We start from the raw sequence: 18,850 nt of genomic DNA on the forward strand, positions 1-18,850 counted from the left end.
GTGGTATTTGTAAACAGTCTATTTTAGTCATGGCCTTGTAATGCTCCCATATTACAGGGTAAATTAAGCTTTAAAAAACAAGAATCTTTATTGCACTGAGGAAAAAAATCCAACTTACTTTTAAGCTAAAAATATTAGTAAGTTTCTGATATTAAAAACTTGCTTATTAATAATAATATTAATTATAAGAAACTCAAATATATGGTTACTACTCCTAACCATATAGTAGTTACACAGACTATGGTATATCCAAAAAATACAGTATTAACAAGTTATTAAAAATTCAAAGGGTATATATTAATAAACATGTTTTTAATAAAGTATTAAGTGAAAGCAGCAGTATATAAGACTGTATTGTTGACTTATAACTTTATTTTAAAAGGAAAGCAAATGTTAACAAATACAAACCAGAAACTAAAACCTATACAGAGGATTAAACGATTGGAAAGAACTCTATCAGTGTGTCAACAGCAGTTGTACTTGGGTGGTCAGTATGGTTGATTTTTTTCCTCCTACTGATCTCTTCCCCTCTTTCTCCTTCATTATTGTCATTAATAAATAGGTAAAACTTTTCTTTCTTTTCTTTTTTTTTTTTTTTGAGATAGAGTCTCACTCTGTAGCCCAGGCTGGAGTGCAGTGGCGCGATCTCACTCACTGCTACCTCTGCCTCCTGGGTCCCGGTTCAAGTAATTCTCCTGCCTCAGCCTCCCGAGTAGCTGGGATTACAGGCATGTGCCACCATGCCCAGCTAATTTCTGTATTTTTCGTAGAGGTGGGGTTTCACCATGTTGGCCAGGCTGGTCTTGAACTCCAGACCTCGTGATCCACCCACCTCGGCCTCCCAAAGTGCCGGGATTACAGGCGTTTAGCCACGGCGCTCGGCCATAAACATGTAAAACTTTTATAGCAAAAAAAAATAAACAACTGGTCTTTAAATCCTAGTGCATTAAGTTATAAGCAATAAATTCAACAGTCCCTCCTGAATGACTGCTATAAGCAAATAGTTACTTATGTAGTATAAGAACTGTACGCACAGAATGAACCTTTGGAGGGCAGGGTGGCCGCTGAAGTGACCAGACTGGGGTGGAGGTACATAAGCCATAACTAGAATGAGGAGTTGCCTGAGATTCTGTAAGTAAGAGGGAGAAAAAATTAATCACATATCCTACTTTTTATACAGTAACCAAGCAATTTAATTAGAACTTACACTCACGATTTTTAAACAGCATTCGTACTCACCAGAATGAGAGGGAGCATGGCATGGTACAGCAGGAATTCCATTAGGGATGTTCTTTGAAGTCAAGTCATTCATCAGTGACATCTGAGTCTGCACGTGCTCACAGAGGGCTTGGTATATTATGGGTGAATACATTCTATAATGATCTTGCAATGACCAGTTTTGCTCTAGGTCTGATGTGTCTCTTTCACTTCTAGCAGAAGCTTCATTAGGTATCTGTTTCTTATTATCTGAAGATGCTAATGTGGAAGAAGAAAAAAGTTCTTGAAATATGATTCTTCAAAAACTTTTACCGTAAGATTTTAAGAGAAGAAAGGGCTCTCAGAAGTAGTCCAATCCATCACATACTTCATAGAAGGGCTTTACCACTATCACCCCTACTAAAGAAAATCATCTCAAATTCTTTCTGAAAGTAATTAGTGTTTAAGTTTCCCCAGTCAAAAATCATCTATACTAATTCTTTACAATTCCCATTTTTTATGCTACTTGCCATTTGTAAAATCTCTCCTTCATTTTAACACTTCTTTTAAGGGAGTTATATTATCCCTAAAGTCCAGTCAAACTCCTTCACCTTGTTCCTTGTCAGTTCATGTTCTCAAGGGAAAATGCAATAGGAAAGAGAATAGTTTGTACAATTCTGATGCTTTGGGTCCTCAAAAACAAAACAAAACAAAACCAACCAAACAAACAAAATCTTGGCCTGGCATTTAAAGTTTCCAAAGCTTGACCACAAGCTACTTTTCCAACTATCGCCCCATCACTCCCAACTCCAATTTTTCATTTCAGGCAGGCCAATTTAGTTACCCAACAAGCTTTTCTCACCTTCCAATAACATTGTTCATGAACCATTCCTACCAATCCAATTCTACCCACTCACCAAGGCTCATCTGAGTTTTCTTCTTCCATGAAGCCTTTTCCAATCCAATCATTCCAGTCTAGTGACTACTCTTCACCACCCTAGAGCACATATTGTCTATAGAAATCATATGCCACTGACACACTGCCTTATATTGCTTATCTTTCATCCTCCTGCCTTTCTGACTAAACCACAAGTTTCTCTAAGCAGGGCTGTACTTCATTGTTTTCTCTTACAGAACCTAGTATTAGTCTATGAACAAGGTAGAAATCGGTATTAACAAAGTAATAAGTAAAAAACAACAAAGTTTTCTACATAGCACTACCTATAGATTGGTATAACAATCTGAATACTATTTCCCTAATTAGGTCCCCTTCCCAAAGGTTTTTTAAAACACTATTAACAGAAATGAAAATATTCTGGTAAATCATAGGTTATCAGTATACAAAATAAATTTAGAAAAATATATGGATATTTGTCACACCTACCAAAGCTAAACGTACATATATTCTATGAAATAACAATTCCACTCCCAGGTATACACCAATAGAAATGAGTGCTTATGTCTACTGAAAGACATGTGCAAGAATGTTCACAGCAGCTTGATTTGCAGTAGCCCAAAGCTGAAAACACCAAATAGCCATGAATAGCAGAAATGGATAAACTGTGGTATACTCGCAGGCTGGAATACTATACAGCATTAAAAAACCAACAAAGTACTGATATATACAACTACCTGGATGTTTAATACACTTAAGGCTGACTGAAAGTGGTCAAACACAAGGGCGCACAGTGTTCAATCACATTTATAGGAAGTCATCAAACAGGTAAAAGTCACAAATGGAAACAGATGTCAGGAAAATGGTTACACAGGGATGAGGGTCTAGGTGATGGTGAGGGTACTGACAGGGAGGGAGCCTCGCAGGGTGCTAAAAATTGTCTGTATCTTGATCTAGGTGGTGGCTACAGGGGTGTATACGTATGCAAAAATTTATTGAGATTTATGTACTTTAAAATTATTTATGAGAAGTATTCCTTAATTTTTTAAAAAACAAAATAATTAAAAATTTAAAAGTAGAGAATCCCTCAAATATAGTTTATTGAAAATAAAAATATTACTAAAAGTGTAAAACTTCCATGTAAAAGCAAAAACAGAAAAAGTTAAAGGCAGATTTAATACTATAACCAGTGAAAATAGAAAAAAAATTTAAAGAAAAAGACAATATTTGACTACGAAAATGGCTGAAGATATCAGATGCTTCCCTTTTGACTTGGGGTATGCTTCCTTTTCAGATGATCTACTCCTATAAATGTACTTTCCAGACCTAAATACAAGCTTTAACACTTATTAGCTGAGTAACCTTGCGCAAATTAACTTCTCTTGACCTGTTTTTCCTCATCAGAAAAATTTTAATAATGCCTATTTTATAAGATTATTGAGAGATGTAAATGACGTAACACTTGTAAATTTCTTAAAGCAATGTCTACCACACAGTAAAAACTCAATGTTAAATATCACCAAATAGCTGCACTCTTACAATAGACAAGTAAATATATCATATTCATAAATCATACTATCTGATGTCAGTAATAAACCTCTGAACATGTCCCCTCTGAGATGATTAAAATCAAAAGTAATAAGAGTTACCTTCACTATCTGATCAGCTCAAACAAAACTGGTTAATAAACTTTTGTAAAGCAAATACTATTTCTTACCAGAAATACAATTTTATAATAAATCAAATGGAAAAGTGCCCTCTAAAATATTTTAACTTTGAAATCTAAAATGATAGAGGGTGAGATCATAGCCCATGGCCATCTAGCATACCACAAGTCCTTTCCTCTTGATTCCTGGGTCTTTCCTTCTGCTCTTGGATTTCCTCTGGTCCTTAAGAATTGGCTAGTTTGAAGAATTCTCAGATTTCACACACAGGTCACAGCATCAGGCTCTCATTTACTTTCTTTTCAAGGCGTGGTTTTCACAGTTTCTAATAAAGCTGAGCTACATTATGCCTCAGCCAGCAGATGTCATCAACTAACATAAATTAATAAATTCCAAACCTATTTCTTCAAAATCAAAGCCTTAGAACTAAAATGACATATTCTGCTCCTTTATAAACTCAGTCCACACAAATCTCTACGGATAATGTTGAGTAACTTTACTTAACGATATGAAGTCTTAAAGCAAACAATCCAAGACAAGTTAGAAACCATAAGGGAAGGACTGCAGTTATATGACTACTACACAGTTTTAAAATAAAACAAACCAATGATCAAATGAGCCTGTTACTACACAAATACAAATGAAGTATATTTTCTTGCTCTTGTTAATTACACCAACGCACTCTACATGAAAATTTTAGCTATTGGTCTGGCAATGTTTAAGTGATGTCAGGTGATAACTAGAATTCATGAAAGGAAAGTATTCATTTACTCAGTCCACAAAACTTTTTCAGTCCCTGAAGTCTAGCTGCTGTGCAAGCACTGTCTGACAGGAAGTTATTCCTGCCACTCGAATATAGAACAAACATCCAGTGCAGGTAAGAGCCACTAGATGCCTACTATAATTTGAAATACGTAAGAACACCTGGCCTTTATGAGTGGCAATCAATGCTCAAAGGATTTTTGCCTGTGGTTGGTTTAGTTCCCCAAGATGAAGACAGCAATGTATGTTACTAAAAGCAAAATCATGAAAGCATTCAACACAGTTATCACATGTAAAAGTTGCTTATTTAAAAAATACATATTTTTTTTAAATGCCAGAAGCACTCTCAAATAAGCTCAATACAATTCTGGAAGGGCTTCTCTGCCTCCTTAGTCCCAGAATGCATCATGGTGTGCTTACCTGACTCCATAGGCATTCAGTGATCAGGTAGGCATTCAATGATCATATCATCCCAGATAGAAAGTACATAAGGAGGCCACTCCCCAGAAGACAGTTAACACAAAATAGCAAGATAATGTGTGTTAAAAGTAAAATAATACATGGATACTAGTTAACATGCTGTAATAGATCGCTTAAAGTTCTTTATGATTACTTCACTTGGAGACGGTAAAGAGAACAAGTTATGAGCTTGGATTTTGTGTATTTTTGAGCATTGTGGTAACAAAGCAAAATCTTGTATTATTGGTTAACAGCTGCCAACCACACACACACACAACTAGAAACTAATTTCTAATATTGCAACCCTAAAGAAGATTGTCCTGTGGAAGTAGGTCCTTCCTTCTGATTAAGAAAATATGGGAGAAAGAACAATAAGAATATTGCACCCTGATCACAGGCCAGAACTGCTGATTCGGCTGTAATCCAAATAAGAATTTAACGCTATGGACCCAGAATGCCAGAATCTTCCATCTGCCAATCCAAACCCACCTCTACTGGTCTTCACCCTGGTCTCCCTGGAATGCTGATCCATATGGGCTGCAAAAAGACAGTCCTTCAATATGTCTTGCTGTATATACCAAAAAAGCAAGGCTTTGACCTAAACTCCTTACCTGGGCCGCTTCTCAGGGTTGTGTCTGCAGTGAGCAACCTTGAAGGATGAGGTAATGTTTCCCTCTGGGACAAGCACAGGCTTGATTACTGCTTACTACCAAAGTGACGGATTCCCCAAGCTCAGTGTTCCTCAGCTGCAACCTAAACCTAAGGCATGTGCAGCATCCATATGGGTCCACCATATCACCCCAATGGGAACTAGGGTGAATGAGAACCAACACAATATGCTGATGCACATACTGCTTCCTGTGCTGTGAGTAATAAAGTCCTTTGTCTCTGACCCAGCAGTCTTGTCTTCTGCTAGCATCCATGACACAGTAAGACTAACTTACTAGCTTGTAAGAGTCAAATCCCAGACCTGATATACATCAGTAGGGCTTCAGTTGGGTTCAATCCAATGGGAGTCTTGGCATATCAAGGAAAGGAAGAAGCATGAAGTCAGGATATACACTTATTCCTGCTCCCTTTCTATAAGGCCACCTTGGGCTGCCTTCGTCATTTCAATGAAGCTCACTGCTCTTCTCAAGGTAGCGTATTCTATAAACAGTATCTCTTTCTAGATCCAGTAACCTCTCTCTCTCCTAATCCCTTATGGCCTAGAGATGATAACAGCTCTGCTGCTCTGCTGCTAGCACTAGGCTCGCATGACCTAGTAGGCAAAACCTGTGGTTTTCCTATACCCTATTCATACCTTTATGAGTCCCTTTGTAAATAAACCCTCCTAAAATTACCTCAATTTGAGTGTTGCCATCTGTTTCTTGTTGGAACTCTGACCGACAGAGGCAGTTAAGTCAGGATCCAGTAAGTTGATACCATGACACCCACTGCCAGTCACATATATTGCAAATAATAGTTCCTTGAGGAAAGGTGCCCTGGATAAGAAATAACCTGCCTACAGACAAAAAGTAGGAGACTGGAGGAACAGGTGCTACCGCTCCTTTCTTTCTCAGTTGGGCCCCAATAAAAAGGCCTCTGCTTTAAAGAGTTAAGGCCAGGGTTTAGCACTCTTTCTTCAAAGGTCAAATAAATATTTTAGGTTTAGCAGGCCAGATGATCTCTGTCAAAACTACTCAACTCTGACACTGCAGCACAAAAACAGCTAATAAAAACACATTAATAAATTAGCTTGGCTGCATTCTAATAAAATCTTATTTACACAATAAAATAACTAAACATTACTTATAAAACTGGCTGTAGTGTATTGAGCTTAGACCAATGCTGTCCAATAGAAATATAATACAAACCATATATGTAACTTGAAATTTCCAGTAACCATATAAAATAGGTAAAATTACTTTTCATAATATTTAAATCAATATATCCAAAATATTAACATTTCAGTGTATAATATAAATAACTGAAATTTTGTATTAAATCTTCTAAATCTAGCATATATTTTACACAAAGCACAATCTAGATGCTAAATTCTCATCAGAAATACTTGGTCTATATTTAGATTTAATAAAATTTACACTTGAAAAGGTAGGTTCACATGCCCAAGTTATTCCAAACATACTTAAAAGTTTTATAATAACTGGATCAATTATCAGTTTTCTAATTTAATTTTAAATTAAATTAAATTAAATAACATTAAAATTCAATTCCTTGGTTGTACTAGTCACATTTCAAGTGCTGAATAGCCACATGTGGCCAGTGGCTACCATCTTGAATAGCACAGGTCAAGATAATATAAAGCTATCATTACTGGCCTCCAAGATGAGTTAGGTTTCCCTTGCCTTAGTTCTCTACCTTGGGACTATCTGAAACATCAACCTCTAGTCCCATGAATGCTCTACTGACACTTTCTCAGCCTCCTTGCTTAAATCCTGATCTCTTTATAGGGCTACTGCTTTATATGACTTTCTAAACTTCATTCCTTGCCCAAGCTGAATCTAAGCACGTACTACAGTGCTGACATTTCTGGCCCACCTGAACTATAGAACTGGCTAGTCTAATTCTAGTCCATCTGAATTCCCACTGTGGACTTTTTCATCTTCATTTTGGGCTATCTTGTTTTCTAGGCCTCCAAGGGACAACATAATCAAAACTTTCTTGTTCTAAACTAGGAAAAGTTAGCCGTGAGGGTGTAAAGTACCCTTGGCTATACTCACCACCAATCAGCAGCAGCCTTTCCTTATTCATCCGATTTTACCTTCCTATGTACCATGTATCCTAACTGTGTAGCTTGACAAGTTCAGCTTGACCAACTTAGGATATATATATATATAAATATAATAATTTTAAAGCAACTACTAGAAGTATACACTTGAAATACAACCAATTTATGATTATCTATGAAAACAAGTGGCAGGGGAAACTAAGATCACTCTATATACCTCCCAAATGTCATTCTGAGTTTGAACTTTTTCTCCTACAAAACCCTGACAGTCTCTTTTTCTATTTTTCTTCTTGAGAAAATGATAGCAAGCAAAGTGGACTACTCAGTGATTAGAAGCTGAATACAGAAAGGCATAAGCACACATAAACCTAACTAATACTGATTATTAAAATGAAAATCAACTGTATAATCCTGATAATTGATCAAAATACCCACAATTAAGGATTATCTTTAAATAACTAAGAGAAAAAAGGCTTACATGTTTCTTTCTGGACTACCAAAGGAATAGTATGTTTTTCATGTCTTTTCTTTTTTGATCCGTATCTTTTGCTTTCTAAAGGTCTAGAATTAGATCTGTTTTCTAAATATGCTGTTTCTGAACCTATTAATAAAACAAAAATTTGTTACATCAAAATAATGACTTGAGATAAGGTGATCAGCAAAGAATTAAAAAAAAAAAACCTGAATCTTCATTTCTCAAAATGTCCCTCAGCAAAGAAGCACAACCATCAAGCCCGTGTACAGTTTCAGCCTGTAAGAAATAAAGTCATTTAGAATACATTTGTATATGACTGTTAGTGTAGGAAAAAATATAAATTATGTAGTTTTAAAATTTGTTTATTTACAAACTATTATTGGTAGAAAAGATGTTTTAAAGCAACAGACTTCATACTTCCTTAGAGCAATTAATACTTTGCATTTTATTCCTACTTTTTAGCTACTATTTGAAAACTAATTAAAATAGTGTGTATTGTATCTATTCAATCTTACCTGACTTTCTGAATCAGAATGGATGGAATAGCCAGAATCTGCATTAAAACGTGGTATTTTTCTTAAATAGGTCCTGGAAAACAAGCTTATTAATATTCTTACAAATATTTTTCCCAAAATATATTAGTAAGTAGTCATTTTCTTTCCAGCAAAGACAAGAAAGCTTGTCCAACCATGTACAAGATGAATTTATAAACACATTCTGAAGATCAGAAAGACTGTTAAATACTAAAATGATTAACATGGGTAGACATGAAAAATTGTTCCTCAGAGCTTGTGATGGTAGAGGCCTACCTAATTTTCTGGGGTAGACGACATGTCATCCAGCCCAAAGACCTGAAAAATTCCTTGAAATCTGAAGTTGTAAACGTCTTCAAGTACTTACGCTTTCTTTCCATTTGTTAATTTAGCAGGTCCAGTGTGCCTTCCTGAAGATAACACCTATGACATAATATATTATAGCAGATAAACAAATATTTTTCTATTATATTTTCAATATGCTATCTTGACAAAATTTAATGTCATTTTTTTCTTTTATTCATCTTCTCAAACTGAAACTCTGCATCCATTAAACAATACCTTTCCATCCCCTCTTCTCCCTGACCCTAGCAACTATCATCCTAGTTTCTATGAATTTGACTAGTCTAGAAACTTTATATAACTGAAATAATACAATATTTGTTCTTTTGTGACTGGCTTATTTCACTTAGCATAATGTCTTCAAGCTTCATCTATATTGTAGCATGTGTCAAAATTTTTCTTCCTTTTTGAGGTCAAATATATTCCATTATATGTATGTACCACATTATTCACTGTTTTAATTAATGTGATATATCCTAAAAATACACAATTATAATTTAATTCATATATTAAATTTCTTTTATGTAAAACGTCAAGCAAACTACACATATATTTGTTCCTTAAGTCTATTTAAGGTGAAAAGGAAATTGAGATACTATTTTAAACCAGAAGTAACTACTACACTAAGTTCAGACTATATTAATCCCAAAATATGTTCTATAGTCCCAAATTCTTTGAAACATGCAAGTTAATTCATGATATAGGACAGAGTTCTTAACTCTGGTTCCTTTTATGTACATTCTTTAGAATGCCTGATTAGACCAGGAAGTGAGAACTCTACCCTGTCTCTTTATCTACATCTCACTGTCTTAATTTTTCTTTTTAAATTCATATACCACTGTTGTTTTCTTAAACTTTTTTGTTTTAAAAGTGACAATAATGGACAACCTTTTGTGTAGAAAAACAGGAAAAAATAAGCATTTGCTTTTACATGCATCCAGTATCTTGGGAGTTATGCCAGAAACAGTTAATCATGGTTGCCTCTGGGGAGGGAAACAGAGTATCTGGGGGACAGAGCGAGAAGGGACACTTTCCATGGTATACTATTTTATATCTTAATAATTTTATATCAGATAAATATAATCTTTATTCAAAATAATTTTAAATAGACATGAGAAAGTCCCTGATTCCCCCCCTAGTTCCACCCTCCAGATGTAGTCACTGTTGGCAGTTTTATTTATAATTTCTCTTCACATATTTAATTTCATCTCCAGATAGCTTTGAGCTGTAACTACCAAACTTTCTAAAGTTATACGGCATTCTATTATATGCTTGAATATGTGCTCCATCCTTCTAAGAATGTCACTGAGAATACATTTTTTAAAAACTGGGTTGGTAAGAGTTATACGTCTTGAGATAACTTGGATTATGATGGAGGGTCATGAAGCCAGCAGTGAGAACCAACAATGTAGGAAATAAGACCTTGTATAACATCACACCACTGGTCTCTGCATCACACTCTCAGGGTCCTTCCCTTTGGTATATTTATGTCGATGTCTTGGCTGGAATCATAATAAAAAATCCAAGCCATGACACTATAATACTATACCCTGGATCGAGTCCAAAAACAACTACCACAATTAAAGTACACTGTCTGAGGTATATGTCTGGCATAACTGTAAGATTACATATGGTGTTTCTCCAAAAAATATACACAAGGCTATATTATAGAAAATCTGGTAAAGAAAACTACCCATGATAAAAGCACCTTGAAACAGTAACTGTCATATTGGAACAATTCCTTTCAATTTTTTTTTGTAGTTTCTACTATGAAATAATAGTACAAAGATGCCCTATATATGCTTCACTCAGATTCTGTGAACCTTGACATTTTCCATATTCTCTCTCAATATATATACACAGCAGTACTTTTTGCCTGAACCATTAGAGTTAAGTTTGCAGATACAATACTCCTTTACTCCTAAATGTTTCCTAAAAACAAGGCCATTCTCTAACATAACCACAGTATAATTATCAAAACCAGGAAATTAACATTGATACAGAATTACAATCTAATATTCAGACCTTATTCACATGTTGCCAATTATCCCAATACTGTTCTTTACAAAAAAAAACCCAAAAAACAAAAATCCCTCTGGTTCACGCCCAATCCATGCTCACATTCTGTTTCTATGAGTTTTAACTATTTAGGTACTTTATGTAAGTAAAATCATGCAGTATTTGTCCTTCTGTGACTAGCTTATTTCACTTAGCATAATGTCTTCAAGTTTTGTCTCTGTTGTTGCATATGACAGCTATTTCTTTCTTTTTAAAGGTTGAATAATAGTCCATTGTATGTATATACCATATTTTCTTTATCTGTTCATCTGCAGATAGAATTTGGGTTGTTCCCACATTTGGCTATTGTGAATAGTGCTGCAATGAACACAAGAGTGCAAATATCTCTTCTATATCCTGATTTCAATTCTTTTGGATAAATTCCCAGAAGTAGAATTGCTGGGTGATATAGTTCTATATTTAATTTGGTGAGGAATCTCCATATTGTTTTCCATAGCAGCTATACCATTTTACATTCCCACTGACAGTGTACAAGGGTTCCAATTCTTCCACATCCTTGCCAACACTTGTTTTCATTTTTTTAATGTCATCCTAACAGGGGTTAGGTGATAGCTCATTGTGGTTTTAATTTGCATTTCCTGGATTAGTGATGTTGAGCATCTTTTCATATACCTGCTGGCCATCTGTACATTTTCTTTGGAGAAATGTCTATTCAAATCCTTTTTTCGTTTTTTAACCAGGTTATGTGTTGTTCTGCTTTTGAGTTATAGAAATTCCTTATATGTATTTTGGATATTATTTATCAGATACATGGCTTGGAAATATTTTCTCCCATTCTGTAGATTGCCTTTTCACTCCATTAATCATTTCCTGTGCTGTGCAGAAGCTTTTTAGTTTGATGTGTCCATGCTCTTCTTATATTACCCCTGCTCAGCCCTGGAGTTGGTCATTTCTCCAAGAAGCCATGACTCCTTAGTGGACAGTGGTACGTGGAAACCAAGATCTAGGTACTAGATGTGTTCTTTGCTATTGGGGCCTCCAATCTTTTTTCATATGCATTTTTTACTTAGTCATAATACCTAGATATTTGCAATTTTAAATCCTGTGTTTTCTACTTTTAAATCTTTTTCATATTCATAAATTTTTAATGGTTGTATAATATTTCCTTCAGTGGAAGTAATATAATAATGGTCTTGGTTTGCTTCATATTTTTCACAATTAAAAAAACAAACCTGGAATAAGCCTTTCTATCTACTGAAAACAGCCTTTTTATATTTAGGATTAAAAAGAAAATTATTTGGTGAAAGGTTATTAGCAATTTAATAACCCTTGATACAAACTGCAAAGCTGCTCTCCAAAAGGAGTGTCCTAATCACAATACAGGAGAATCAGTTTGCTTTATTTTACACTTACTTCTACGAGGTTATTATCATTAAACTTTTAATTTTGCTATTTGAGAATCATATAAGCATTTCTTAGTAGTCATATCTCCTACCAACAAGTACAAGATAATACTGCCTTTGTAGAATGACTTACAGTGTGCTAAGGTCTTTCATTTTCACTTAATCCATACCCTGTGAGTTATTATTTGTGAGGTGGGAACCTAAATTTCAGAAAAGTGGTTTGTTCAAAGTCATACATCTACTAGGTAAAATGTTTAAAAGAAGAATGGACTCTGGCATCAGTTTTGTGAGTCTGAATCTTGTTTCCACAGCTGTGTAACTGCCAAGTTATTTGAATCCTCCAGCCCTCGATTTCCTCATATATAAAATAGGGATAATAGTACTTACCTCATAAGGATATCGTGACTATTAAATGAGTTATTCTATGTAATACATAAAAGCACTTACAGTAGCATCTGCCACATAAGTCCTATCTAAATGTTGGCTGCTGTTATCATTAAGATGGTGGCAAACTACGTGTTTTAAAGGGAACTAAATTTTGTTGTATGTCTACAACAACTGTGTGATCGATGTTTTTACCGGGTTCTCTTATTTAACCTTCTCAATTCTTTGAGACAGGATTTTATGCTTATTTCTGCCTATTTTGCAGCTAAGGAATAGGAAGTTCTGAGCAGTAAAAAGTAGTAGACTCTCAATCTGCAGGTGACTGAAGCTAGGAGAGGTTAAGTCACTCGACGCAGCGGCGAAGGCTGGGACTCGAACCCGGGCCTGACCCCAAAGCCGGCGCTCTAGACTAGGGCTACGACGATTTAAACAGAAACATCTAGAGACCGAGCGGCCGTGTTACGACGGGAAGATTAGGTGTTCCCTGCACCTCTGTCCCAGCACTTTAATGTCGCCGCATTGTCTTTGTCTTTTTTCGAGCAGAGTTTTACAAGTTCCTGGCCCGAAAACCCCCCTGTCCCTCTCCATCCCCACAGCGGACTCCTCAGGTCCTCAGCCCTCACCTGGCCCGGTCGAGCTCCAGACCTGACCATCTCTCGCCGCCTCAGAGAAGCCCAGACCGAGGGAAGTGAAGCCTCACGGTAAAAAGAATTAACCGCCGTGGGCTCCCGGACCTTCTTGGCCCGCCCGCCGAGCTTCCGCTTCCGGAAAGGATCCCGCCGAATGCCGCGCTTCATAGTCTCCGACGCGCCTCCACTCCCTTTCTCCTGCTCCAGGCCCAGCGCCTTGGGCGTACGCAATAGACCCCTCCAAGCTTCCCGGCTTGTCACCCACCGGCAGGGGTTGGGAGAAGCCAATAAACGGCGAACGGGGCGGGGCCAAGGCATGGCTGGGGCGGGGCCGGGGCGGAGCCGCCGAGAAAAGAGTTAAGCGGAGGTTCCAGGACTTGCGGTGGGGAAAACGGGGACGAGGACCCGCCAGCGCCAGAGGATGGGACAGGGGTAGGAGGCGAATAGGTTTCAGAAGGAATTGAGCGCGACTTTTTGGGTTTTCGCTCTTTATTTTTAGTTTGGCATCGTGTGCCTTTTGGAAGATTTTGTTCTTGATATTCTATAAAAATAAGACCTCGGGGTTGTTACCTTTGCGTGTGATGGAAATTGCAGAATTATTCCCTGTGGCCACTGATCTCAGAACGGTGTTCATTAGTTGGGATTTTGGGTTTACTTCCATGCGTACTTGTCTCCTCTTATGTTGAGGTAATTACTTTTGATGAAAAATGACACAACATTCTTAGTATTGGCATGTGCACTCATTTTAATGAGGATTTTAGTCATTGGTTTTTAAGGCATTGAGTTTTGGGTTAATGATTTAAATCAAGTTGAAGAGAGATAACTCAGTTTATTCCATTTCAACTGTCACCCAGGCAGGAGTGCAGTGGCGCAATCTCAGCTCACTGCAACCTCTGCCTCCTGGGTTCCAGCGATTCTCCTGCCTCAGCCTCCTGAAGAGCTGGGATTACAGGTGCGTGCCACCACACGCGGCTAATTTTTGTATTTTTAGTAGAGACAGGGTTTCACCCTGTTGGCCAGGCTGGTCTCACACTCCTGACCTCAGGTGATCCGCCCGCCTTGGCCTCCAAAGTGCTGGAATTACAGTGGTGAGCCACCATGCCCGGCCTCATTTCTTTTTAATGGAGAAAAGAGCTACGCTTTAAAAGTCTGTTACAATTAATGTCAAAGCCCAGGAACTAAAATATGTCCACCAAAATATCACACACTTATCCTGAGTGATTTTAGGAAATGAGTATTTCACAGATTTAGTTTTGAATTAGATCAAACTGTGAAAACCTCTCCTTTCCTTCCCCAGCCCTCACATAACTTCATAACTTGCTGACATATTCACCTGAAATTAAGGGGTTTTTTTTAGTTAAGTTGATATTTTTTGAATTCATATTGATTTTTCTTAATACATGTTTATTTTAGAAAATATAGATAAGCAAAAAGGAAAAGACCACCCATAACCCCATTACCCATGAGTTATCACTTTGAACAGCTTGGTGCATTCCCTTCAAGATTTTTTCCACCTACATATATATGTATAAATGTATTACGACAATATGAAATAATAGGTATTACTGTAACATGCGTGTTTTCTCTTAATATCTAATCAACATTGTTTCTCATTAGTCTACAATTATAAAATGGCTGCCTGGTGTTCCATGATTCACTTCCCTAGTGTTGGGAATGTTATGCCCCCACCCCGTTTCATTTTGTTGTTTGCTATTATAAATAATGTTGCAGTGAGCTGAGATCTGCAAATGAACTAGATAGAGAGTGGAGAGCAGAGTATTCTAAAGATGTGGAGACAGCATGATGTTGAGAAAGAGAAACCCAGAGAGTTCCTTGCTGCTGAAGTATAGACAGTGGGGATGGAAATATATGTAGGGCCAGACTATGCAGTCCTCATAGACTACATGATTTGGCTTATTATCCTAAGGCCATTGGGAATACATAAAAGTTCAAGCAGGGGACACAGTGAACTGACTGGGGTTTTACAAAGATCAATGGCTGTAGTGTAGAGCAGGAATCTGAAATCTACAGTCCCTGGCAAAATTCAGTCTGCCATTCTTGGATGTAGCCTGAGAACAGTTTTTACATTTTCAGGTAGTTTTTTTTAAGTCAAAAGAATTATATTGTGTGATGTGAAAAGTTACCTGAAAATCATCTCAGTGTTACAAAGTTTTATTGGAACACAGTCACGCTAATGTGTTTACACATTATCTGTGCTACAACTGCCAAAGTTGAGTATTTGTGATAGAGACCGTCTAGCCGGCCAAGCCTAAGATATTTACTATCTGGGCCTTTACAGAAGAAGTTTGCTGATCACTAGCATAGAGGGTGCTTGGGGGAAAGGCAAGTATGGGTGTGAGCAAGTTCTCTCCTCCTGCATCCATTCTCTGTCCTCCCCTTGGACTGACATCAGTCAGACATGCCCTCCAGCTTCAGGTTCTGTTTAGTCAATAGAAGAGGGAGAGAATGGGATATTCCTGCTCTCTCAGCACCGTTTGGCTGATGCACTGGCCCTCTGCATCATCAGGGGAGCCCCTGGAGCTCCAGTCCTCTCACACTCTAATAAAACATGTCCTTCCCTTTGTCTTTTCAGTCTTAGGGGTGATAATGGTTTGCTAGTCCCTGGGTGCCTCAACTCCCTTGTTGTTTTCCTTGTCCATTATGTAAACCTTTTTCTGTTTGTTTTGTTTTGTTTTTTGAGACAGAGTCTCGCTCTTTCGCCCAGGCCGGACTGCAGTGGTGCTGTGTAGGCTCACTGCAAGCTCCGCCTCCTGGGTTCACGCCATTCTCCTGCCTCAGCCTCCCGAGTAGCTGGGACTACAGGCGCCTGCCACCACGCCCGGCTAATTTTTTGTATTTTTAATAGAGGCGGGGTTTCACCATGTTAGCCAAGATGGTCTCCATCTCCTGACCTCGTGATCCGCCCGCCTCAGCCTCCCAAAGTGCTGGGATTACAGGTGTGAGCCACCGCGCCCGGCCGTAAACCTTTTAATTGTCCTCAAAAATCTAGATTGTCTTCTGTTCCCTGTGAGGACCAGACTGATAGGAAGTCCAGATGAAATATGTTGGTAGCTGGGAGGGGATGAGGGGACCTAAGGGAGGTGGTGGTGAGGGAAGGTGAAGAGGACATATTTGAGAGATGCATAGGAGGTAAAATGGAGAGCACTTGGTGATAAGAGTTGGAAAGTCAGGCAAGGGGAAGGTATTTGTTGACCCTGGTTTCTGGGTTTTGTATCTTGGCAGGTGGTGGGAGAGATCCACATTTAGGAAGGAAGCTTGTGAATTCATTTCTCTCCAACATTTTATTATGAAAAAAATGCAAACCAGGAAAGTCATTTTTGGATTTATTAAATTAGGGAGTACTTTGGAGTCATCCAAGAAAAGATGTCAAGTTAGCTACTGGATAGTTGAGTCTGGAGCGTGGCAAAGACCTGTGGGCTGCAGATACACCTTTCCGAGTTGCCTGTGGCTTCCGAACTTGTTCTCAAATTACTTCCTCAAGAAAGCCTCTCTATCCTGCCCCTGCAAACTAACTGTGTGCCTCATGCTACTATGTAGTAGCATCGTTTCTCACAATTATAAACTTGTGTTTAGTTATGTAATATCTGTCTTCCTAAGTAGAATTTAATCTCTATGAAAGCAGGGACCTCACCTTGTTCAAAGCAGTATCCCCAGTGCCTAGCACAATCCCTTGCACTTGTAGGAATTTCTTAATTATTTGTTGAATAAACCAATGAATCAGCCATTGTTTGGACTGCTTTGGTGCACTGGGGCTGACAGCTACTTGAATGTCCAAGGCTCAGGATTGTCCAGGACTAGCCCTTTGAGCTTGGTCCGGAGGTTTAGTGCCTCTAGTATCATGGATACACAACTCTGCTTGTCTATCCAGTCTTTCATAATTCAGCACATTGGACCAATGACTTTGCCAATTGGCTCACCTCTGAAGTGTGAAAGTCTCTGTTCAGGTTTGACCATGTTCCAGTTTATAGGAAATGACCAAAGTTGAAAGTATATGAAGATCTAAACTAAAAACACAGATTTATGGCCAGGATCTAAGATTCAAAAAGTAAGAGGCTGTGGATAAGAAGTCACATGTTGGGAGCGTGAGCTCAGTTCTGCTTGGAAAGATCTGAGAGACTGTGCTGTTGTCTTTCCTCAAGCCATTTAGTGCTCTCTGGGGCTATTTTGAACCCAAAGGTTCTTGGCCTTTTGAGATAATATACAACTTTGAGAAATTGCTCAAAGCCTTATAATTTTTTCTTCAGAAAAATGCTAATGAGCACATTTTGGAGACATGATTACATATATAATGTTATCAGAGGCACTCAGGAGCCTCTCCAAGGATTTCAGGTTAAGATTCCTATTCTAACCTAATTCAAAACCAGCCTTCCACATTGGGGTGTCCAGCTCCTTCTGTTGCAGGGCCCTGGTGATCCTGGAAGTAGTTGGTTAACTAGGGATGGTAGGTCCCTGATGGAATAGCATCAAGGAGAGGAAGGGCATGGAGCATAGAGAAAATGGAATTGGGCCATAATCTTTGCATTTCCCACTGAAGCTTATATATCTGCAGTCTTCACTTTAATCAAAATAGCTTAATTTAGGAAAGAAAGAGCCCACTGTTTTTGCTTTATAAAATCCTGATTTTATTGCTTCCTGAAAATTTTTTTAAAGGAGAAATACAAACCATATGTTACAAGGGCCTTCATTTGACAGTTTAACTGGGGTCATGCTAGGACTGTATAGATATTGCTGATTATGATAGGAAAGCCAGTGGGATGGGTCTGACAAGGATCTGTTGGCAGCAAGAATCAAGGGACCCCCTTTGGAATGATCCCATCACAAGGAAGAAATGGTTGGGGACAATGTGTCATGTTTGTGGGTCAGTTGTGAATTTTAATACAGCACAATGACAGTCACTTATTGCCCTGCAGACCCTGAAGACTTCTGCGTGATCCAAAGAGAGAAACATTAATAGTGATTAAAATGTTAAAATTTTGTTTTATTAAAATATCTGTAAGGCAGTGTAGCAGATGCAGGTGGCTTCTTATTGTGAACATCTATGACTTCCTGGCTGAGAGCCTTTTTTCTGGAGCAAAAGGAGCAAACTGAGGCAAGCTGGAAAGGCAGGACATTAATTCCCCTGGAAGAAGCCCTCAGTCAGTGACAGGTGGGGATTATCCAGTGATGGATGAAGAGCTTCCTCACCCTTCGATTGGGATAACTCTGAGATGTGTTTTATGCTGTCTCCCAGAGTTCCCCAGCAGTATTGGGGTACAGGGGTAACTGGCTGGATAACACACCATTTATTAGCTTTCTTCCCATCACTATAATATCTTACTCTTCCTATCCCTGTTCCA

General features: G+C 38.0%; 1 protein-coding gene across 29 annotated transcripts in view, besides 1 other annotated feature; it reads right to left on the reverse strand.

The window, feature by feature from the left end:
• The window catches only part of CCDC14 (coiled-coil domain containing 14), a 76,054-nt gene extending 62,481 nt beyond the window's left edge, over positions 1-13,573 (reverse strand). For 8 of the 29 annotated variants that reach the window (XM_011513081.3, XM_005247715.5, XM_006713733.4 and 5 more), the window contains exons 1-7: positions 13,488-13,573; positions 9,084-9,139; positions 8,699-8,771; positions 8,390-8,459; positions 8,187-8,309; positions 1,240-1,476; positions 1,035-1,129 (exon numbers count right to left, since the gene is read on the reverse strand). In XM_011513081.3, coding sequence (XP_011511383.2) covers positions 1,035-1,129; positions 1,240-1,476; positions 8,187-8,309; positions 8,390-8,459; positions 8,699-8,771; positions 9,084-9,139; positions 13,488-13,517 — 684 coding nt within the window. In that variant the 5' untranslated portion in view covers positions 13,518-13,573. Of the gene's footprint in view, positions 1-1,034; positions 1,130-1,239 lie in introns of all 29 variants that reach the window. The other 21 variants (XM_047448748.1, XM_047448739.1, XM_047448738.1 and 18 more) reach the window with 16 other exon arrangements.
• Positions 13,581-13,891: a silencer, noted in NCBI's record as "fragment chr3:123680084-123680394 (GRCh37/hg19 assembly coordinates)". NCBI's record gives its function as "represses an EF-1alpha promoter that drives an FKBP-Casp9 reporter gene in an ReSE screen in K562 erythroleukemia cells {active_cell/tissue: K562}" and the evidence as "EXISTENCE:reporter gene assay evidence [ECO:0000049][PMID:32094911]".

Source organism: Homo sapiens, chromosome 3 (genome assembly GCF_000001405.40).
Source record: "Homo sapiens chromosome 3, GRCh38.p14 Primary Assembly".
Classification (NCBI taxonomy): Eukaryota; Metazoa; Chordata; class Mammalia; order Primates; family Hominidae; genus Homo; species Homo sapiens.